A 23,345-nucleotide genomic window follows, 5' to 3' on the forward strand; every position below is an offset into this window, starting at 1 on the left:
CACCTGTAATCCCAGCACTTTGGGAGGCCGAGGCAGATGGATTGCCTGGGGTCAGGAGTTGGAGACCAGCCTGGCCAACATGGCGAAACCCCGTCTCTACTAAAAATACAAAAATTAGCTGGGTGTGGTGGCATATGCCTGTAATCCCAGCAACTTGGGATGCTGAGGTAGGAGAATCACTTAAATCCAGGAGGCGGAGATTGTAGTGAGCCAGGATTGCACCACTGCACTCCAGCCTAGAGACAGAACGAGACTCTGTCTCAAAAAAAAAAAAAAAAAAAAAAAAAAAAAAAAAAAAATCACCCAGCTACAGCTAGCCCAAATTCATGTCCCCCGTGGGGTTAATGATGGGAATCAGAACTAAAAGCAGAAAGAGGAATAACAAATATTGTGATAAAGAATATGAAAAAGAATTTGAAGCACTTAAACCCAGACTAGATTAAAAATCTTGTTAAGGGTAAGATAAAATTTCTGAGCTGTGAATCCAGAAATGAGAAGAAGGAAGTCCTGAGCTGGGCAGTACAGTCAGGGGAAAGCTGGTTGGCTCTTCACCAGGACTGGGCCACCGTGGCAGGAAGAAGAGAGACTCATTGTGCCTGAAAAAGATGTGAGGGCTGGGAATACTTCCCAGGGGCTTCATGGCAGACATACTTGGAAGGACTATGCATTTGTAAACTAAACCATTTGGATGAACTAATCCCAGTTTGTATATGGGAAGTCACAAAAATATCAATGTTTGCCTGCACTTTTTCTCAGAAAACCTTGCAAAGGAAAACCAGAATAGTTTACCTAGGACAGATGCCTAGCATCAAATGGTCTTAGAAGCTAATTTTTTTTTGCATGAAATCATTTATTCCAATAACTCTACTACTATATCACAACAAAATCCAGGTTCTTAGAAGCTGTATGAGAATATCTGCCTTTGGTTTCTTAGTAGCGGCTTTATGCAGTAAAAGTGCACAGGATATATCATGGGGAAAGATGGGTTTCTCATTATATCATTTTTTTTTAAGTAAATAAAATCACCTTTTTAAGAAAGTACAAAACGCCCTTAAATTTTGTAGAATATTCCCCTAAAAAGACTTTAAGAAAAAAAATCCTAGAGGATATCAAACCTAACTAAGTCTTTTCAGCTGAGACAGAATTACTGAGTTCAGGTCCTGACTTTACCACTAAGTAAATATCTGAAAGACCTAGGTATATAGTCTTCCAATGTAGGAGGATTGTGAATAAAATAAATTAAATAAATTATTTACTGCCAGTAAATACAATTTTATTACTTTCCCAAACACAGAAAATCATCCTATAGCTTAAGTGTAGATTTGACTAAAAATAACTCTGCCTCTTCCAAAAATCTGGATTACAACTGTTCCTAGTGGATGCTCTGGGCTAAGCTGACAAAGACAATGAATGCAGATTGGGAAACTGTGCTGGTCACTGTCGGGCTATGGGAGAGTGTCACTAAAGCACCAATCTAGACTGTCTTCACTGACGTCTACACAAGTCAAACTGCAGAGATCCTCAGAATAGTCCCAGCTGGATGTAACGGCACCTATACTGAAGAGTTACCAGATAAAGGTGATTAAAACCTAAGGAGAAGACTTCATTCTAGAAATAATCCAGCATCTGTTTTCATTAGTGGGCTCTAGGCTTTGCTAAGCCCCCCACTTTTTTTTTTTTTTTTTGAGACAGAGACTCTTGCCCAGGCTGGAGTGCAGTGGCGTGATCATGGCTCACTGCAGCTTTGACCTCACAGGCTCGAGCGATCCTCCTACCTCACCTTCCCAAGTAGCTGGGACTAAAGGAACATGCCACCATGCTTGGCTAATTTTTTTATGTTTTATAGAGACAGGGTCTCGCAATGTTGTCAGGGTTGGTCTCAAACTCCTGGGCTCAAGCAATCCTCCCACCTCTGCCTCCCAAAGTGCTGGGATTACAGGTGTGAGCCACAGCACCCAGCCCACTTTTAAACAAAATAACTCAACAAATACAATTTGAACACTAAGGGTATCCTCTGTCCACATGAAAATGAGATACTCTATATTACTTCAAAATAAAAGAACATTTGCTTCTTTGGAAATTAAAAAAAAATTAAAATAGAATGCCAACTCTTTACCTAAGAGGTTACTAGATTGAGTTTGCCGAAGTAGTATTTTTTGCAATAAACAAGCTGTATTTGATCAAAATTAATAAATCCATGTTAGTTCCTACTCTATCCCATAGAGAAAACAAGTTGAACTCAAAGCTATTTGCAGTTTTTGATTTATTAGAAATGATCATAAGCTAAAAACTGTATGGATTCTCTGCATATCTTTGGCTAGTTATGCTGCTTAGGGCCGATGGCAAAAAACCAGTTGCCAAAGTTGAAACAGGTATGCAACACAAACATACGATTCAAAACTGGGATGTGAGACAAATGCACATTAATTTTAAATGGTATTAAAGAGTGTTGTGTTCTAGTGCCCATCATTTTTAATCTTTACAGAATTTGGTACAATAGTCAAACCAGATAAGTATCTTCTTGCAATTATTATGAGAGAAAGAAAACTTTATGATTTAGTTTTTTCTCTCTCTAGGAGTTGGCCTAAGAAGTAGCAAAACTTATAGTTTATCTAAGTACAATATTGCATCAACACACTAAAAATAAAATGAATTATGTTGGGAAGACATTCATCAATTTTTAAATGTTAAATCTTTAGAAACTCCATGCTTTAGTAACCACTGTAGAATGTTAACTACAGAAAGTACCTGCACAATAGGGACCAACAGAGAACCAGCATTTATCAAAAGTTCGCTCCCCAGGGCTGAGGGAGGGAGGAATGGGGAGTTAGTGTTTAATGGGTACTGTGTTTCAGTTGGGGAGAATGAAAAAGCTCTGGAGATGGATGATGGTGATGGCTGTGCAACAATGTGAACACACTTAATGCCACGTAACTGTACACTTAAAAATGGTGAATATGGCAAATTTTATGTTATGTATGTTTTACCTAATTTTTTTTTAAGTTCATAAAAGAAGTCTTAGATTTGAAAGAGTCCACTGGCATGTTGACTATCCACTTATCTTTACCCTAAAAGCTCTCGTTAAGTTTGATAATCCGAAAGCAAAGTACCTGGAACATATGATCTTAGCTCCTCACAGCAACACTGAGTTAAAACTAAGCCTGTGCTCACTGTTTCTCTGGAGTCAAGAGGGGGATTATGCAAGATGACTCAGTGACTACTGAGTTGTGTAGGCTTTCTGCTCAGTTATATAACTTGGCTGTCTTTTCCAAGTCTTTCCTCTCTGATTAGCATCTGTGTGTTGCTTCCCACATGGAACCAGGCATTTTAGGTAACAGGGAAAATTATGGGGTGAGGTGGAGAAAAAGTTGGAAGAAAAATTGTAATGTTTTATCAGACATCTTTTTATATGAATGAGCCATATCTTAAACTTATTTAACATCTATTTTAATTTCAGCATCACGTTCCCTGTATATATGAACTCTACTAAATATTGTTTAGTTCTAAGTAAAACCTCAAACTATATCTGTCCATGAATAAAGTTAGTTTACTGCACAATTAAAATGCAGTTATGTCAAGTTAATTTTGATTACTGTTCAACTTGAGCCCTGTTTTGAAAGAAGCCAGATAGACATGTTCAAGGAAGAATGTTTCTTCCAGTGGAAGTTTTCACTCAAGACTGAGTGGCTGGGTGCAGTGGCTCACACCTGTAATCTCAGTATTTTGGGAAGTTGAAGGGGGAGGATCACTTGAGCCTAGGAACTGGAGACCAGCCTGGGCAACATAGTGAGACCCTGTCTCTACAAAACATAAAAAATTAGCTGGGCATGGTGGTGTGCAACTGTGGGCTCAGATACTTGGGAGGCTGAGCTGAGAGGATTGCTTGAGCCTGGGATTGCACTGGGGCTGCAGTCAGCTGAGATTGCACTACTGTACTTCAGCCTAGGTGACACAGCAAAACCCTGTCTCAAAATAGATAGGTAAGTAAATAAAAATTGGAAAGTTTTAATAACAAGCAACTTAGCTAAACTCTAAGGAAGGAAGATCAATCAGTGCAGATTCTGTCATCATTAACAATTCATGATGAGAATTTTGTTGAACAGGAACTGACCTTCAATACTTTTTTGATGCTGTTAATTGTTGATGTTAGCAACGACCTTACTTTCTGATCATCATTCAGGTAGTCAGCATGTCGAACACACATGAACAGGATATATGCCGGTAATCCTGGAATCAAATTGACTGCTACACCACGTGGCTTCAGTTCTAAAAAAGAAAAAATAATAATTTTATATAACATGGAAAATTTTCACGAGGCATGCATTGTGAGATATAAAAACACAGTTGTCATGTAAGAGTTCAATCATTCAAGGTAAGTAGGTAATATAAAAAGTGTATTTTAATAGCTCTTTAAGTAGAAAAATTCTGGAATGTGGAGCATGTCCATATAATGACAACTCCCAAACTGATATCTCCTGCGCTGACTTTTCCCTTGAATTCCAGTCTCACTATCAACTACCTTCTTGACAACTCTGCTCAGGCACATGAAACTAAGCCTCTCCCAAACCAAATTCTTGCTTCTCTAAGGAACCTACTTTTTTGGAAGTTGTCCCCATCTTAGTAAATAAATAGCAGGTCTAGTCTTCCAGTATCCTAGATTACAAACCTCATCCTCATTTTTGACTCCTTTCTTTTCTCATACCACATATCCAATCCATCAACAAACCCTGTTGGCTCTATCTACAAAATACATCCAAAATCCAGCTACTTCTCACTGCTTCTACCAGCTACAGATGTCCCATGGAGGCCACCATCATCTCCTGCTGGGCTGCTGCAATAGCTCCCTAACTGGCCTCCCTAATTCATCTCTTGCTCCCCAGTACTGCATTTTCCATACAACAATCAGGGCCATTCTTTCGGAAAATGTTGGTCAGATCATGTCACTCTCGTTCTGAGAATCCTCCAAGCAGCTTCTCATGTCAAGCATTTATAAAAGCCAAAATCCTCACCATAGCATAGGATCTGGCCCTATTCCCCTTCCCCACTCCAGCTCACTCTGCTCCAAATGGGTCTCCTTGCTGTTGGTTAAACATGCCAGGTATGCTCCCTGCCCTGGGCCTACGTGCTTACTGTTTTTCTGCCTTGAATGTTCTTTCCTCAGATATTAGCATGACTTGTTAGCTTACTTCCTTTGGTGTCTGTCCAAAGATCACCTTACCAAAGAGTGTTTCCTGACAATTTTACACAAACCAGTATACCTGCCTTCACTCTTTATTCTTTTTACTCCATCATATATTTGTTTATTTTATTTTCTTTATTTCTCCCCTGGAATGTAAACTCTGTAAGACTGGGTACTTCACTTTGCTCATTACCTAGAAAATGCTTGGCACATGATAAGAGTTCATTAAACATTTGCTGAATTGATAAATCTGTTAATTCTTTGCTGAATTGATAAATCTGTTAATTCTATGCTTAAAAACCAGTGGCTCCTTAACATTTTTGCTAAATGAAATTCATGTTGAAACTTAAGCACCTGTGCAACTATATATAGTACTAAGTTTAATGCCAGGAACATTCCATCAGGTATAAGTGCCAATCACACTGCTGTCACCCTGGCACCTGGCGGGAGGAATGCTGTGCAAAGGCTGAAAGGAGAGGTTTTTAGGATTTTCACTTCACAACTTACGGTGTGTACACTCTAATCATTTACCACCACCCTCTAAAAAGTTTTCTTGCAAAGCCAGCAGGCTCAGACCCAATCTTAAAGGCAGTGTGCTGCCCTGAAATGCTTCTTCCACTCTCATCTCATTTATTCTGTCCATTCCTTCCTTTGTTAGAATCTTTTCCTTTTTTTGTTTCTTCCCTATTATTACACTGCCGTCCTTGACCTATTTAGTTGCAAACCTTTCTAGGGGAGTAAGGAAAAACTGAAATTCAGGAACCTAAACGGCCTAGAGCAGTTGTGCTCAACTGTGGTTACACTTGAGAATCCCTTAAGAAGCTTTTTATTATTTTTGAGAAAGACTCTTGCTGTGTAGCCCAGGGTGGAGTGCAGTGGTATAATCACAGCTCACTGTAGTCTTGAACTCCTGGGCTTACATGATCCTCCCATCTCAGCCTTTTGAGCAGCTAGGACTACAGGCATGTACCACCTCGCCTGGGTAATTTTTTTTTTTTTTTTTTTTTTTTTTGGAGAGATGCGGTCTTGCTATTTTCCCGAGGCTGGCCTTGAGGGTTTTTTCTTTTTCTTTTTTTTTTTTTTAAAGTACTAGACATTGCCAGGCTCTTCTCTCTAGAGATTTTGATTTAACTGGGCAAGAGGGAGAGAGATACATCAGTATGGTTCAAAGCTTCCAGGTGATTCTAATGTGCAGCCAGGGCTGAGAAGACCTGATCTTGAGCAATCCTTGTAGGTGGGTCTGAGGCATGTGTCCCTGCAGTTGGACTGAAAGTGCTTGGTGTGGTCAGAACACTACTGCAGCACTAGAATACATGGTATCTGATGATGACTAATGAAACCTACGCTGAATATCTCAAAAATTAGTGACTAGTTTTTCCCACCATTAACCCATGTGCCAGAAGGAACTTTTATCCAATGCAGAAAATACTTGCCCAGAATCAGGTTCTTAACAAGTTTTTGCTCATCCTCCTTCTTGTATTCCAGCATCCCTTGGAAATCCTTTTCTTTCCTGGGAATGTTGACTGGTCGGATGGGTTCATCAATGATCTGTCCTGGGGATATGTTCTCCATCTGGCCCACTTTATGAGAAGTAAGAAAGGAGGAGAAAATGTTTTCCATATAAAAAACATGAGAGGTCTCCAAGTTCCTATAATTTTGAATGCATTCTACAACAACCGAAACTTGCCATATTTGCCACTTAATTGCCTTCTCTTAAAATAATTTTTTTCTGTTAAAATTGGGTGAACAGATGGCAAAATTATATGGTCATCTTACTCTGAAAGCCACTCCTGCCTAACTGTAAATTAACATCAAATAACCTTACATGACTCAAAACTTTTTTTTATGTAATAAGGCTTACTTTTTAATAAGATTAAATGTCCAAAAAGTAAGTGGTTTAACAGATTTGTTAATTAATTGATACTAATCAGAAATGGTTAAACATATTTTGACTTTAATTCACAGGAGGAACAATCAATATCCTACAAAGGGGCAGAAGGAGCAGAAACAATTCCCCCTTGCTCTTGGCTCAATGACTTTAGCCATTAAAAGCAAAAGAACATTTACTTTAAATGTATCATTACAATCAATTCAAAACACATACAGATAGCTGGTAGAAGAGTGTTTCTTCATACCACTTGGTCCAAAATGTATTATTTTTCACAAAGGCCTCATATGGCAAAGACCTAATTTTCTCCTGCCATCCTCATTCCCAGAGAAATCATGAACAGATAAACTATCTCTATGTAGTATGATTTCCTAAATGTTATTATTTTTTATTTCTTTTTAATATAATGTTAAAAATTCTACTTATAAAGTTGCAATCAATGAAGTACAACCACTGGTTTACAATGCTTTCAGATGTTAAAAATAGTCACTATTGTCAAGGGCAGCAGCTAGAGAATTATGCTAAAGGTTAAAAAAAAAAGTCTCCAATTTCATCTCAAAATTGAGACTTGAGTGGGAAATCCAACAAAAAGTAAAGGGACATATGAGTTACCACAGCCACTGTGGAGATACACGCTAGTAACCAGGTTTTTTATCCTTTTATCTACAGGGAGGGAGAGTGGTTAAGAGATTTGTTTAAGGGCAGATTAAGTTTGAGTTCTGAGATTGCTGTCAAACAAAATGCAGATCAGATGCAAAAACATTAGAAAGCTTAATATTGCTGACTCCACGAGGTGTCAGTAGTGCTTCTTGTGTCACTCTGGGTAATTTCCTGGGTTAGTTCTGAGAAGCCAGTCCCACAGGAAGAGGTTATCACAGAGAACATCAGTACCTGCCAGTGCTCTTGCTTATGTGGCATGGAGCCTGGTGACACACCGTCCACCTCATGCTGCAGCAGCACACACTGGGACTATCAGCGCTGAAAATCTGGTTTAGGTGAAGTCACCACCATCCAGCAACACTATGATATCTAAAGAGTGGTCAGATTGTGATTGGACAGATCAGGGCTACGGCCATCTCCCATAATCTAGTTTTTCATATGCATGATCCAGTATGAAAGCCACGGGACTAACTCTAAAGTATATTCTTCCATGCAAGAGAAAAGGAGACTCAAACTGTTTGGTTTTACATAATTTCTGGTGTCAGTTTAAACACAACACCACAAGGACCTCTGAAGCAGCACACAGTGGCCTCTACAGATCATAAACCTGCAGCTGCATGTAAAAAACAAAATTATAAAACCCCTGCCATCTATGCCACTAGTAACTTTTAAGCCGCATGTACAATTCCAAAAGGGGAAACTGGGAGAAAACAAGTTCAACATACTAGGTTTATCAATAAATGCACATATTTGGACTCCATGTAACCCAAAGAGCATATTTTAAACCCACTGATTTATCAAATCTATGATGCTATCGGTTATGAAATACAGTATTTTATGTAACACTAAAAAAATTGCCAACTAAACTATAACCCATCAACAATTGTAAGATACACCCCAATTTCAGAGATGTTGAAATGGGAAACACTGCATCTCAGAATTTGTGAAATACAATGGATATTTTTACTAAGAAAGTTTATGTTTTAAAAGGAAGCTTCACCTTCCTTTTGCAAAATCTCTAACCAGGATATTTTTGGTACTGTATAAAAATGTCAGATAGAATGTGCCATACTCTCACTAAAAACTTTCTCTCTGCCTCTGAATTCTCCCTAGGGACTTAAGTCTTTGCAAAGCTCACAAATGAAATTTAGATGTCAGTTCAACATAACCTTGATTGATTTTGCAATATTATCTACTAATTAAAATAAAATGTTGGCCGGGCACAGTGACTCACACCTATAATCAGAGCACTTTGGGAGGCCAAGGCAGGCAGATCACCTGAGTTCAGGAGTTCAAGACCACCCTGACCAACATGGAGAAACCCCATCTCTACTAAAAATACAAAAAATTAGCCGGGCATGGTGGTACATGCCTGTAATCCCAGCTACTTGGGAGGCTGAGGCAGGAGAATCGCTTGAACCTGGGAGGCAGAGGTTGCAGTGAGCCGAGATCACGCCACTGCACTGCAGCCTGAGTGATGAAAGCCAAACTCCATCTCAATAAATAAATAAATAAAGAGGCAACTAGCTAAGCCTTTTGCCCTTCCACCTTCTGCCATGTAAGAACACAGAGTTCGTCCCCTTCAGAGGATCCAGCAACAAGGCACCTGCCATCTCGGAAGCAGAAACCAGACCCTCTGAACTTGCCAGTGTCTTGACCCTTCAGAACTGTGAGAAATAAATTTCTGTTCTTTATAAATCACCCAGTCTCAAGTACTTTGTTATAGCAGCACAAAGGGACTGAGGAGCCCAATGATCCATTCTTCTAGGAAGACCTGAAAAAAGACTCTAGTTTCATTTTCTAGATTCTTTATAAACTTGAGGGAACCTTTCTGTCTTCAAAAAGGAAAGAAAATTGGAAAGTTTTAAAAAAATTTACTTTTGGCACCAGGAAGATCTTGATCTCAAGTTTGAGACAATCAGATGAATTCCTAATAAGTAGAAGATTTCTGTGGGAAAATTTGACACAAAGGAGAGAAATCAGTGGCCCTTAGAAGGTATGTGTTCTAGTCCTGCCATCTCACCTGCTGCAACCATGGGTCACTTACAGGCCTTAGTTTTTTCCTCTTATGAAATAACTAATTGATTTCTAGAATCCTTTCAGGTCTTAATTTCTTGATTCCATGAAAATTAAGATGGGTGAAAATATAGCACAAAGCAGATCAAATTTTGAAACACTCTCCATTTAGCTATATAGTTTCTGCCAAAAATTATATATGCTAGCATTTTTTTTAAAAGTCTGTTGGCTTTTTAAAAAGCCTCCTTAATTAAATGTAGCTTGTAGGAGGAGGCAAGAGTTGTGCTATTTTAAACCAAAAGGATTTAAGTGTGTTGCAATACATTTAAAGAAAAGTATAAGACAACGTTTAGTTATTAGAAGGTGCCTGTATTTTCTGTGTAACAGGCAGATACGAGGATGAAAAGTGTCACCTTGATTCTCTTTATTTGGGGTAGAAGCAGGTACACTGCACTCAGCAAGTGCCCAAGTCACATAAATCTATTTCATTTCATCCTCTAGATATGTATCACTTAACTCAAAATGTAACTCTTCTTAAGAACTATTATAATGCCTTTTTTGTTTGATCTATGAATTGCTATTCTCAAATGCTACTTATGGCTTTACAGCTGTCTGGATAGTTTAAATGATGAGGTTGATTTCTGATTGACAATGGCTTAAGATTAGTAATATCTTAAAATAGTCTAACCCATCTCTTCAACTAAAAAATATACATATCAAAGAAAACTAATAAAAATTATGTAAAATAATGAATGGCTTTTCTGTTTATCAAAATTTACTAAAGTATGGCAAAGGAATCATTAGGAGTTGAACAAAAAAAGAATCTCACATGTTAATACACTTAAAATCTGTTTTTTTCAAACAAATACTCTGCTGTCTGATTATCATCTCATGATATAATTGGTGCAAAGTGCAAAAAGTTCTCTGAATAAAGATTTTTAAGTTCTGCTAATAGACATTATAGCTCATGTGTGTGTGAGTGTGTGATGTGGAGGCTCAAATTTTAATGTAATATATGACTCATGTAATGCTAAAGGATTATATATAAAGTGTGACTATAAAATAATCTTTCTGATTTCTAAACAAATATTTCAGTATTTGTACATCCAACAGAGTAATATCCTTTACAAAGTAAATGTCCATGTTGCCATGTTATAAATATTTCTGAAACTTACTCATTCACTCAACAAACATTTATGGAATGATTATGAGATAGGTCAGACACTATGCTAGGTGCTGTGAAAGCAAAGGGAAACAGAGATGTTTTCTATGCTCAGGAAGCTCAGAGTCTATTATGGAAGCCAGTAATTCAAACAGAAAAATTGCTAAAAATATGACATAGTGAAGACCATAAAAGATGTCGGCCAAATTGTGGTACACAGAGAGCAGAACCATAACGTCTGTCTGGGTAATCAGGAAAGGCTACTCTTGAGGATGTGACATATGACTCTGGTCTCAAAGGCTGAGCAGGACTTAACCAGGAGAAGCAGGATGACCAAACAGAAGGAGCAGTTATGACAAGACCTGGCATGTTGGAGGAATGAAAACCACACTTGGAGTTAATCATGATAGATTCTTTTGAACATCCTCAGTGATGGGGAATCTTCACTGTTTGAACCAAGCAAGAATTAGATGCAGAATGACAATGAGAGAAAATGATTAACCGTTCACACAGGTTTGAAGGCTATTCCAAAGACTGTCTCAAAATCCCTTAAGCAGTGAGAACATTGAAATAAGCTTAAAATTTGGCTTTAGGCTGGAAGCGGTGGCTCACGCCTATACCCAGCACTTTGGGAGGCTGAGGCAGATGGATCACGAGCTCAGGAGTTCGAGATCAGCCTGGCCAACATGGTGAAACCCCGTCTCTACTAAAAATACAAAAATTAGCTGGACATGGTGGCATGCACCTGTAATCCCAGCTACTCAGGAGGCTGAGGCAGGAGAATTGCTTGAACCCGGGAAGCAGAGGTTGCAGTGAGCCGAGATTGCACCACTGCACTCCAGCCTCAGCGACAGAGCAAGACTCTGTCTCCAAAAAAAAAAAAAAAAAAAAAAAAAGGAGTTTGGCTTTAGCCTTGTTCACTGCTAGATCCCTGTACCTATAACTCTTAACAAATAAACACATAAACACACTAATAGAAAAGATAAGATCCATTTGTATATAAATAATAACAACAACTGATATTTGGTTATTTCTCAAGGAATTTTTTCATCATCATCATATAGAAATCATGAGATGTTTTTAAAAATCTTATTTCTTTATCATCATAATTCATATTTTTCTTTTTTACTTCTCTATTTTTCCTCCATTAGACTGTAAGTTCTTTGAGGACAGACTCTATCATACTCATCTTAGTATCCCTAATACTAAGAATAATGATAGTGACTAATAACTAAGTCGCATGAAGCATTTTTACTATGCGTCAGTAACTTTTCTAAGTGTAATATACTTATTAGGTTGATGCAAAGGCATTTGCAGTTCCTGCCATTAAAAGTAATTGCCTTTGGACCAACCTAATAGCTCATTCAATCCTTATAAACCATGTCAGATAGATGCTATTATCTTTCTAATTTAACAGATGGGAAAGCACAGGCATACAGAGGTTCAGAAACTTGCCCAATATCATATGATTAATAAGTAGAAGAGCTAAGATTTGAACCCAAGAAGCTTGACTCCAGAATCCACATTCTTAACTCCTATGCTATACTGCCTAGCACATTGTCTGGCATATAGAAGATATTCATTAGATGCTTACAGAGTAAAATCTGTAAATTATTACTACCCATGAAAAGAACATTTTTCCTCATTTAAAAATGTAAATTTCTACTCAAAAGAGGTTAGGTTTGCCAAAAGTCATATTTTGTTATTATCCCTAATATTTGCATGCAAACCTCTATTAGGCCACTTATATAGCCTAGTCTTTAAGCCAAGACTCAAACCAAGACTCAGTGACCGTCTTGAAAAAAAGGTTTAAATACCTTCTAGTTCGCCAATTTTTTTGGCAAATACTTTCAGTTGTTTTTTCAGTTTACGGACCGTCTTATCCTGTTTTTCAAGTTGTTCCATCAAATCCTAAAGATCAAAAAGAGAAATATATTAGAAAAATCGAAACAGGCCTTCTAAAATGCATCAAAGGAAAATAGACACAATATCACAGAAACAACACGTTAGTTTTACATAAGAGCTCATTGGTGGAGCCACCACCTGGCTAAAATTGGCAGGCATGGGAAATGCAGCTACAATAAAAGCCATATGTTAAAATATACAACGCAGTAAACTCCTTTACAGCGTGATGGACAGCAGGCTCACTGCAGAGTCTTTCCAGTAGACTCCATGTGGGAAAATCAACTGAATGCTTTGTAGAATGTATTGGTATTCCAGTAGAATGCTTTCTTTTAAAGGAGGACTGACTAGGCAAAAATAAATTTTGATGAATGCACAAAAAGGTTTGTGGAAAGAATGGTTGAACTTAGGTAGGAACTGACACTCCCCATGTGTGAAGCACTGTCTCTATGAGAGCCACCCTATGAAATTCTAAAATTAGCCCTGAAACTTAAGAATAGTTCAGAAGTTTTGGGAATTAAAAGATAAGTTGAAAAAAATAATCACAAAGAACAGGATAAAGAGTGGTCTGCTTACCTAGGACCAAAGTGGCAAGTGGCATAAGGCATCTATAAAATCTTGCAGGTGATATAATTTTGCTTATACAGAAGAAAGGGGTATTTATGAATGCTTTATGCAAAAACAGAAACAAAAGCAGTACACTTAAGGAGGAAGGTAAAAAAAAGTCCATGATTATTGGCTATTTAATAAAGAATTTGCTCAAATGACAGACATGGTTAAAAACTCAATCAAAAAGAAAGTGGACAACAGTAGGCTCAGTAACAGCTTAGAAGGGCTATGAGTCAGCAATGTGTGTGGTCTGTTATTCAGGTTATGGAGAAGAAAGGCATTCCAAATACAAATATTCATTTTCCAGTTTAGACAGGAGTAGATTTAGCTACTAGGCCAACCATTAAAGGGAACAGTTGCTATCTCTTCAAAGTGTTAAGTTGTACTTCTTGGATTTTACGTGACCTTTCAAATCACATTTTGCTTCCATCACACTGTAAGCCTAGTGTTAATAACAAACCAAACGTGACAATGGACTCAGGACACTGACAGAGGTGACACCACTGGCTAAAAGACAGCTGTGGGGAGAAACAGGTTTCGTGAAAATTTTGAAGAGACTTCCTGGGAGGGGGCAGGCAGCAGTGTGCTCTTCAGTTACAGAGGGCTATAAGTAGCAAGGGAAGACAGCAGAAAAGCACTATGGTTTTACATACAATCATCCGTTTGTAAAGGGAAATCCGATATGATTGATACTTCTTAGGGTCATCTGCATATAATTCCTCAAAATACTGAAAAAACAGGCACAATGGATATTTGTTTTTGTCTGTGTGTTTGAGGGAAATGCTATCTTTCAGCAAAATCAATTTTAAAATATTTTAAAATACAAATAGTGAAACTATATATACTTGAAAGGCTCTGATTTGTCACCTTCCATTACCCTTTTATCTTTCTAGTATAGATTATTCTAATTACATATGTACAGATGTTTCTTGTGTGAACAAAGGAAAGAGGCTGTGGCCAGGATGCCATCACTTAGCAGGCCCAGATAAGGCTGTCATTTCCCTCCTCCAACCTCCTGCCTTTTTACTCCCAGCCTCCCCAACACATGATGCTCACAACTTGCTGCACTTTTTTTTTTTTTTTTTTGCCGCCAGCAGCAGTGGCAAGAATAGGGGAGGTAAATATAATAAAAGTGAGAATAATAGCAATGTTAGCTTGTGAAGCTGGAGAGGCTGGTGGGAAGCTGTGCATCTTCCTTCGCTGAAAGACAGCACGGGGGAGGCCTGTGAAGCCTGTTCACTAGATGAGGTAGAAAAATCATTTTTGTGTTTTGTGTTGGTGGTAGGTAGGTGGGCAAGGTAGAGTTTCAAGAGCACTAAGCCCAGGTCTCCTGCTGGGCTTTAATATCCTACTCAAGTGTTTCTTATAGAAATGCACAATTAAGATTGAGAAAACAATGATTTTGAAAAAGTCTATCATTTCCTGTACTTATGTTTGAATCCATCCTCCTGAATTAGTAGTCAGTGTGATGGCAGGAGAAGCAGCTGACCTACAAAAGGTTTTCCCCAAACTCAAATTCATTAACTGGGCTCTATTAGCTTAGAATATAGGGGCTTAGTCTATTTTTTGTATTAGCTATGAAAAATTGCCAAAAAAATTAATATTGCAAACAAGGTTGCAAGAGAAATGTCTGACCAACTTAGTGAAAAAACCCTGGAAATCTGCCACCCAGAAGCATCTTTATTTCACGATTTCACCTTGTATTTTAAAACAATAATTTAAAGCACAGAACTTGTATGCCAATCAATCAACTTATTATATTATTCAGTATATTTGGTAATACTTAGTCATCAAAGCATTGTTAGTTTAATTTAAGCAACAGTATACTTGAGCTTTGTAAAATAACACTTCAAAAAATATTTCATGATTCAGAAAATTTTCCCCACAAATTAGTGAGATGTCAATCACTTTGGAAAGAGCCCACACACTGCCCCCACCCTCCTCCCTCATTCCCATGGTGGAGCCTCATACAGACAGACTGTGAAAAAGAATACCTTTGCGTTTTGCTTCTAATTCATATAAAAGATGGTTGAATAAATGACACTAGAAAACTGTTTGTAATGTAAATTATCACAAATGGAGTAATGGAGGGATAATTCAGATTGTTAAATCTTCAGAGAAAATTCATACTATTTTATTATAGGTCATTAAAAATGTTAATTTAAAAAAGACACAAATCACCACCAATCCTAAACAATTTTTCTCAAAATCGGGCTAGCACTACAATATAGACTTTATATAGAAATATGAAATTATCACTTTTTAAGGATTTTTAATATAGTAAATATATTTGTCAAAAAACTGTAAATCAGTAATAAAAGTTATTATGTGACTGAGAAATATTTTAGAAAATTTTTTTGGCAAAAGAAAAAAAAAAAGGAACAAGGCAAAAAAAAGAAAAGAAAACAGTCAGACTCCATGCCAGGGTTTAGAATCTGACAAGGAAAAAGACAATTTCCTCACTTGTTATACAAGTTCTGTTTAAAAGAACAGAAAATATGTAAACCTGAATCCTAACACACACCTCCCTGACCTGGGAGCTCCATCCAACATCAACCAAAAACCCCGGCTTAGTTTTGCCAACCGCCTTTCTCAACCTCAACTCTAACCCTACTTGTCTGCTAGAGGTGGAGCCTGGGATGGCCTCAGTGGCTGCTTGGGGACCAAAGGTAAAGGAAGCCTGTCCCCAGTCTCAGTTGTGACAATCACATAATAAACCTAGGATGGCAGAGGATCTGCAGCTGAAATGGAGGAAGCAGATCACCTGCCATCAAAAGCCCAGCCTGCACCCAGGTGGTTGTCTGCCTCCAGGGCAGGTCTAAGAGCACGCAGCCCTCCGTGATAAAGAGAACCTGTGCCTTCTTCCTTCCTACCAAAATATTTGTATTTTCCTTACTCTGTCTCTGCTGGAGTAAGAGGGGTAACAAGTACAGAGGGGTGAGTTTTTCCCAGCAAGAAAAACCCGTGTTTGATCAAAAAGAAACTAGACTGTCGGGCAGGCTAGGTTAAGAAGCATGTGGACCCGGCAGCTCTCCTTACCAAGTTTTCGTTGGTCAGCCGGGTGATCTCGTGCTGCAGGCTGGCCTCAATGCGGGCCTCTGGGGGCAGCTGCAGGTTCTGGGCCAGCAGCTGCTGCTGTCGGTTGTTCTCCTCCTTCAGGCTCTGGATCTCCCCACGGAGGGCCTCGGCCTCATTCTCATGGCTCCTCTTCTGTGACTGCAGCTGGGATTCCAGGAGCCTGCGGAGAGGACACATGGGTCGGAAGGGGAGACGACACCCCGAGTTGCTGCCTAACGGGTGTAAGGCATCGTGTTCACTTGCAAGAGTAGGAAAAGCAGATATTCTTTAGTATCTGTGTTATCTTCTGACTTGATTAAAGTCAAGAAACTAAAACAAGAAGCAGAAATAGAAACGGGTGCTCTCACATTTGTGTCTTTCTGCATTATATAAAGTTCTCAGAGGCCCTAAGAAACAGGAGAGTTTTAGTTCTCTTGAAAGGTTCATAGGAGGCCGGGTGTGGTGGCTCACGCCTGTAATCTCAGCACTTTGGGAGGCTGAGGCAGGCGGATCACCTGAGATGAGGAGTTTAAGACCAGCCTGGCCAACATAGCGAAACCCCATCTCTACTAAAAATACAAAAAATTAGTCAGGCGTGTTGGGGCATGCCTTTTGTCCCAGCTACTCAGGAGGCTGAGGCAGGAGAACTGGTTGAACCCAGGAGGCAAAGGTTGCAGTGAGCTGAGATTGCACCATTGCACTCCAGCCTGGGCAACAAACAAGAGCAAAACTTCGTCTCAAAAAAAAAAAAAGAGGGTCATAGGAAATGAGGATGTAAAAAAAAAAATCAATTGAAAAAAACAGCTTTAATTTGCCTTGCATTTGCATTTATAAATTAGCATTTAAATTGGCAAAGACAGTACACCTTTGCCACAAAACAACTCTGCACTATAAAGGCCAACATTATAAACTTCCAAATTAACTAAATGTGCCTTCAGAACTACAGTTACTAATTCCAGGCAGAGGGAATTATATTCTACTCCTATTCTGAAAGACAGAAAGGCTGGAACACCACTCCAGCCTTATATATACAGATTTACCCGAATCCACACAAATAGTTCTGAAATTTCCTATATATATTTTAGATCTGTCATCTTCTCTCTCCGCATAAACTTACATATCAGAAACAGAATCCTAACAAGATGTGGTTTTAGAACACAAATATTAATAGGACCAAAAAAGTGGTTATTGCTTTTCCAAGCAAACATACAGCCAGCTGTGCCCACAGAGCAGACCAGGCATTGGCAGTGAGAACACCAGAGTCAGAGCATCCTCCCTTTGCCACGCACCCCTGCTTCTACAGTCACTCTCTTCCAAATGCAAAGTTATGGTTAAGAACTAACTAATGTGAAGAAAGAAAAGACATTCTTTTATTCCAGTCCCTTGGTTGCCAACTGCTGGGTAAAACTTAATGATGCCATTGCAAGCAAACTGTTAACAGTGGACTAAAAATATTTAGTGATTAAAACATTTCAAAAAGATCTGCAGCAATAACACCCCAAAGTTAATGACAAGCGTTAATGATGAGAACAAAGCAGAATAAGCAGAAGCCCCTTGAACAAACATTTGAGTGTTTTAAAAATTTAATCACTAAAATAGAATTTTAATGAGATTTTAAAGACAAATATCACTAGAGCAGATGAATGTCTGTGTTAGAAAGGTGCTGCTGTTTCAATTTTATTTTCTCTCCTCTGAACATATTTAACGGGTTGAATTTGGGTAATTATTCTGAGCTATAGCAATGCAGAAAACTCTCCTGATTTGCTGTTTCACAAATGTGAATTTCATAATAACCACACAGAGTGCCAAATCATGCATTTCATCTTGCTTTTAGACAGCATGATAATAATATATAAGAAGGTAGGCTGGGCGCAGTACCTCAAATCTGTAATCCCAACACTTTGGGAGGCCGAGGCAGGATTGTTTGAGCCCAGGAGTTTGACACCAGCCTGGGCAACCAAGTGAAACCCTGTCTCTACAAAAAATAAAAAAATTAGCTGAGTGTGGTGGCACATGCTTGTGACAGTCCCAGTTACTCAGGAGGCTGAGGCAGGAGGATCGTTTGAGCCCAGGAGGTCAAGGCTGAATTAAGCCGTGATCATGCTACTGCACTCAAGCCTGGGTGACAGAGCAAGACCCTGTGTCAAAAAAAAGAAAAGAAAAATGTAGCCACATTGCCATAGACACATATATCCTGTAGATCTATCTATAGGATATGAGAAGCCACTGTCTCAGTAATAAATCTTAATCTCTCCCCCAATAGTTTGTGCCCTAATTGAAAGATTATGTTTTTCTTTTAACTCCTGGGAGAGAGAGATTCACAAATTTTAGTGTCTGAAGGGAAGTGTCTTATATTCACCACCATTCAATTTTAGCTTTAATAGTATCTTGTAGTGAAGGTTTTTAAAGAAGGTGTTTGGACCGGGTGTGGTGGCTGACGCCTGTAATCCCAATACTTTGAGAGGCTCAGGTGGGCGCATCACCTGAGGTCAGGAGTTCGAGACCAGCCTGGCCAACATGGTGAAACCCCGTCTCTACTAAAAATACAGAAAATTAGTCAGGCATGTTGGTGCACGCCTGTAATCCCAGCTACTCAGGAGGCTGAGGCAGGACAATTGCTTGAACCCAGGAGGCAGAGGTTGCAGTGAGCTGAGATCGCACCACTGCACTCCAGCCTAGGCAACAGAGTGAGACTCCGTCTAAAAAAGAAAAAAAAAAAAGGTGTTTGGCTGAATGTTCTCAGTTTTACTGAAAAGCTTTGAACAAATAACACAATTACTAACACTAATTTACCCAAGAAGACAATCAATGCACAAGAAATACAGGGGTGAAAGTCAGGAGGTCACTGTTAGTAAGAAAAACAACAAATTAATAACATTCCATTTTGAGGAGACAAATATAACCTGTTGGCTTGTTTTAACCCTTCATAAACCAGCCACAGCTCTCCATCCTCATTCAACTCATGGTAATCCAGAGCAGATGATCTTCCATGCAAAAGGAACAACAATGCAAAACACAAAAGGATACAGGATGCTGATGAGGTGACGATGGTCAACAGCAGCATGCAGTATTTCAACATTTTATAAGTTTGTTTTTATTCATTATGACAACTTTAAGACATTACCACAAAAATTATTTTTGGTTAATTTTTAAAAATGAGTAACATGTAGCATCACATGTAAATGGATAGAAATTAAAGCAAAATAATCAAGGATGTAGAGCTACTTTACCTGCAAAATAAGAAATGACTGGAAGGTGAGAAAGAGGTTCTGTTTTTGATGTTTTATTCAGCTAGCAAAGTGATCTAATACATCACATATTGTATTAGAGGTTATGACACATATAGAACAAAAACTTCAGCTACTGTCTTTGTGTGGCAAACTTCATAATATTTTTCAAGATGAATTTTTAAGTCCTCTAGGTAGGAACGTTTTTAGCTTAATAAAACCTAATTTCCCACATTAAAAAACCAGTTTTAAAAATTCTTATAGCAGTAACATAAATCAGAACATGTCCAAGGTTCTCAGCTTTTATGACATGATTTTTAAAAGCTTTTTTGTGTCAAAAATTAATTGTATGCCTGGAAAAACTGCTATATTAGAGATGTATCACATCTTATTAAAAACGTATAATTAGTAATGATAATGTTAGTAATCATTTATTTTCCACTTAGAATATAAAAATAATATTTTTTGAGTGTTTGCTCAGTGTCAGATGCTGTTCTACATTCTTTCCACATGTACTAATTCAGTTTCCCCAGTAACCCAACAAGTCATTTGCCACATTGCAGAGGAAGACGCAGAGGCTTGGAAGTAAGATACCCATAGAGGTTACACAGCTGGTAAGTAGTGGATCCCAGCACTGACTCTGGAGTCCAGGTTCTTACTCCTGCTATATTGTTGTTATGTTTACATAACCCAAATTCCAGGCATTGTCTTCTACTTTACATCTAGAGAGTTCATATCTCTCTAGAGAATTCACCTATTTACACGGTTTCCATTGTATTATTATACTCTGATGACTTCAAAATTTCTATCTCAGTACACACATCTCTCCTGTCTACAGATTTATATACTCAACTGCCTAATAGATTTCTTTCTCTGGATGTTTTCCTGGCTCCTTAAATCCATATGTATAAATCTACTGATCATCTTCACTGTGCATTTCCCCACACTCCAGTCCCACGATCACAAAACGGTATCACCACACCTAACCAAGATAGCAGAAACCACGGAGTCACCTTCAGGCTTCTCCATCCCTCGCCCACACATTCAATAAACCAAACAGCTTTCTGACTTCGTCTTCTTATGTATCTTTCAAAACGTCCCATTTCTGTCAATCCTAACTGCCACCAGCCAAGCCCAAGTCACCATAATCACTGGGTTACAGGAATACTCTCTGGCCTTTATGCTTCCAATTTTGTTCTACTGCAGTCTATTCTCTAACATAACAGCCAGGGCTAGCTTTCCAAAAATCAAATCTCATCACACCATTCTCCTACTTAACACCTTTCAGAGGATTCCATTATCTTTGGAATAAAGTCCAAACCCTCTCAGCTGTCTCCCCAGCAGCCTATAATCTCAGTGAGAGTAGGAACCGCATTTATCTTGCTTATTACTGTATTCCCAGTATGTGGCACAAGGCCTGGCATGAAGTAGGCACACTGGTGATAGAATAGCTAAGTGGATGGAAGAACATTGTGATACAATACAGTTCTTTCTATATTAACACATTCTTAGATATAACATATGTTTATAATTTAAACTGATAAATTAAAATTTAAGTATAACCAAATACTTTTATAAGCATTCTCCACCCTTGTCCATAAAAGAAGATAAGAAGCACAGTCATCCTTCAATATCCATTGGGTTCCAGGTCCTCCCTTGGATAGCAAGATCCACAGACGTTCGAATCCCTTATATAAAATTTGCATACTATTTGCATATAACCATGTACATCCTCCGTACACTTTAAATCATCTCTAGATTACTTATAATACCTAAAAACTTGTAATATGTAATCTCTAGACTACTTATAATACTCTGTAAATAACTGTTACACTGTATTGTTTAAGAAATAATGATAGGGCCGGGCGCAGTGGCTCATGCCTGTAATCCTAGCACGTTGGGAGGCCGAAGCGGGTGGATCACCTGAGGCCTGGAGCTCGGGACGACCCTGGCCAACATGGTGAAACCCCATCTCTACTAAAAAAAATACAAAAATTAGTCGGGTGTGGTGGTGGGCACCTATAATCCCAGCTACTCGAGAGGCTGAGGCAGGAGAATCGCTTGAACCTGGGGGGCGGAGGTTGCAGTGAGCTGAGATTGCTCCACTTCACTCCAGCCTAGGCGAAAGAGGGAAACTCCATTTCAAAAAAAAAAAAAAGAAAGATAAAGAAAAGAAATAAGAAAAAAGTCTGTACATGTTCAGTACAAATGTAATTTAAAAAATATTTTCCATCCTCCATTGGTTGACTCCACAGATAGGGATCCAATGGATATTGAGGGCTGACTGCACCTTTCTTTTTGTATGGCAATATTCTTCAGTTTATAAAGTATGTATGTTTACCAATCCTGAAACTATCCATCAAGAGCCCCAGACCAATAGACTTTGCTGGGAAGGAGGGTGGTAGTAAGGCCAAGGGGAATTCCAGATATGAGCCTTCATTCTTCTATCCTAGAAGTCATGGTGCCCTTTTAGAGTTACATGGCCAACACTGAGTGATTCCAGATACCTCATCACTTCTTTTCACTCTTAAGTTTCAAATATTGAAAACTGCAGTTGCCCCTACAAACCTTCACAAATAACCATCCTGAATAACAAATGAAAGTGACTACCTAAGATTGTATGACCTGAGCAGGTAGTTTTCTTCTCAAGGCAGCCCCTTAAAGCTAAGACATTAAATATTTTTAAAATCTTGCTTTGATTTAAAGCACATTTTCCCTGACACCTTTTGTCAATACTATTACCTTATATTATAATGAAGATCTTAACTAGAAATACACTGGAAACCTTGGATTCCCTTTGAAGGCCAGTTAATGTCTAATATAAAGGAATGTATGAACACTTTTACTGTACAAGAGGCTGGCTTGAAGGCTAAAGATCAATATAATTAAACCAAAATGAATAAAAGAAGGATCAACTTACCTATTTGTTTCTTTCAAACCAATGTATGCTTGTGCTATTTCACCTTTATCTTTCATTTTTTGTACATCTTCCAAAAGTATTGTGGAATCTGTCATTGTATTCTGAGAGGGAAATAACACATTTACGCATTAAGATTCAACTCAAAAGCTTTGGACATAAAACACATTTATTTGGTATAACTGGGGGGCAGTGGTTATGTGCTCCACCATACCTGTGACCCACCAAAGCATCAGCCCCAACCTCATGTAACTGCAGAGGGGAGTTTGGCCCAGGTAGTTGAGAAGAGGTACCTTCAGTTTTTCTCCTGAGAAACACTAGCACTCTGCTACAAAGGTGGGAAGATTCTACAATGTCACGGCCCTGTAAATAAAATCACTGATGGGCCATATATGTGTTTTACATTATGTGAAAAAAAATATATATATATTTTATAAAGTATATAATATAGTATATACAGCATTAGAAAAATAACCAGGCACCTATTTAATGGAATGTACAAAGCCATTCTTTCTACTACTTCATGACTAGTTACAATGAGCAGATGCCCCAAAACACTGAAAGTCTGACATAAAGTTCACTTTTTCATTAAAAACTCAGAAAAAGAAGGTAGTATTCAGATTATATGCTTCAGCAAAATTAAGTTTTTTTTCTCACATTCAGTTCTCTTTTCCTCTAGTATAACATAACATAGTACTTAAGCTTTTGAAATAAACATCTGGCAGGTC

The 23,345-nt window shown here is 38.4% G+C and overlaps 1 protein-coding gene across 12 annotated transcripts in view, besides 2 other annotated features; it reads right to left on the bottom strand.

The window, feature by feature from the left end:
- The window catches only part of MYO5A (myosin VA), a 221,768-nt gene that overhangs the window by 16,458 nt on the left and 181,965 nt on the right, over nucleotides 1–23,345 (bottom strand). For 5 of the 12 annotated variants that reach the window (XM_047432540.1, NM_001382347.1, NM_001382348.1 and 2 more), the window contains 7 exons: nucleotides 22,621–22,721; nucleotides 19,377–19,457; nucleotides 16,456–16,654; nucleotides 14,070–14,144; nucleotides 12,723–12,816; nucleotides 6,613–6,759; nucleotides 4,112–4,266 (listed from right to left, as the gene is read on the bottom strand). In XM_047432540.1, the coding sequence (XP_047288496.1) occupies nucleotides 4,112–4,266; nucleotides 6,613–6,759; nucleotides 12,723–12,816; nucleotides 14,070–14,144; nucleotides 16,456–16,654; nucleotides 19,377–19,457; nucleotides 22,621–22,721 (852 nt within the window). 12 annotated transcript variants of the gene reach the window in all.
- Nucleotides 8,008–8,137: an enhancer, noted in NCBI's record as "active region_9426". NCBI's record gives its function as "activates an Ori minimal core promoter by ATAC-STARR-seq in GM12878 lymphoblastoid cells {active_cell/tissue: GM12878}" and the evidence as "EXISTENCE:reporter gene assay evidence [ECO:0000049][PMID:35858748]".
- Nucleotides 14,501–15,077: an enhancer, noted in NCBI's record as "OCT4-NANOG hESC enhancer chr15:52630438-52631014 (GRCh37/hg19 assembly coordinates)". NCBI's record gives its function as "activates a minimal SCP1, AML or CMV promoter by ChIP-STARR-seq in primed H9 embryonic stem cells {active_cell/tissue: H9 hESC(primed)}" and the evidence as "EXISTENCE:reporter gene assay evidence [ECO:0000049][PMID:30033119]".

This window comes from Homo sapiens, chromosome 15 (genome assembly GCF_000001405.40).
Source record: "Homo sapiens chromosome 15, GRCh38.p14 Primary Assembly".
Taxonomy (NCBI): domain Eukaryota; kingdom Metazoa; phylum Chordata; class Mammalia; order Primates; family Hominidae; genus Homo; species Homo sapiens.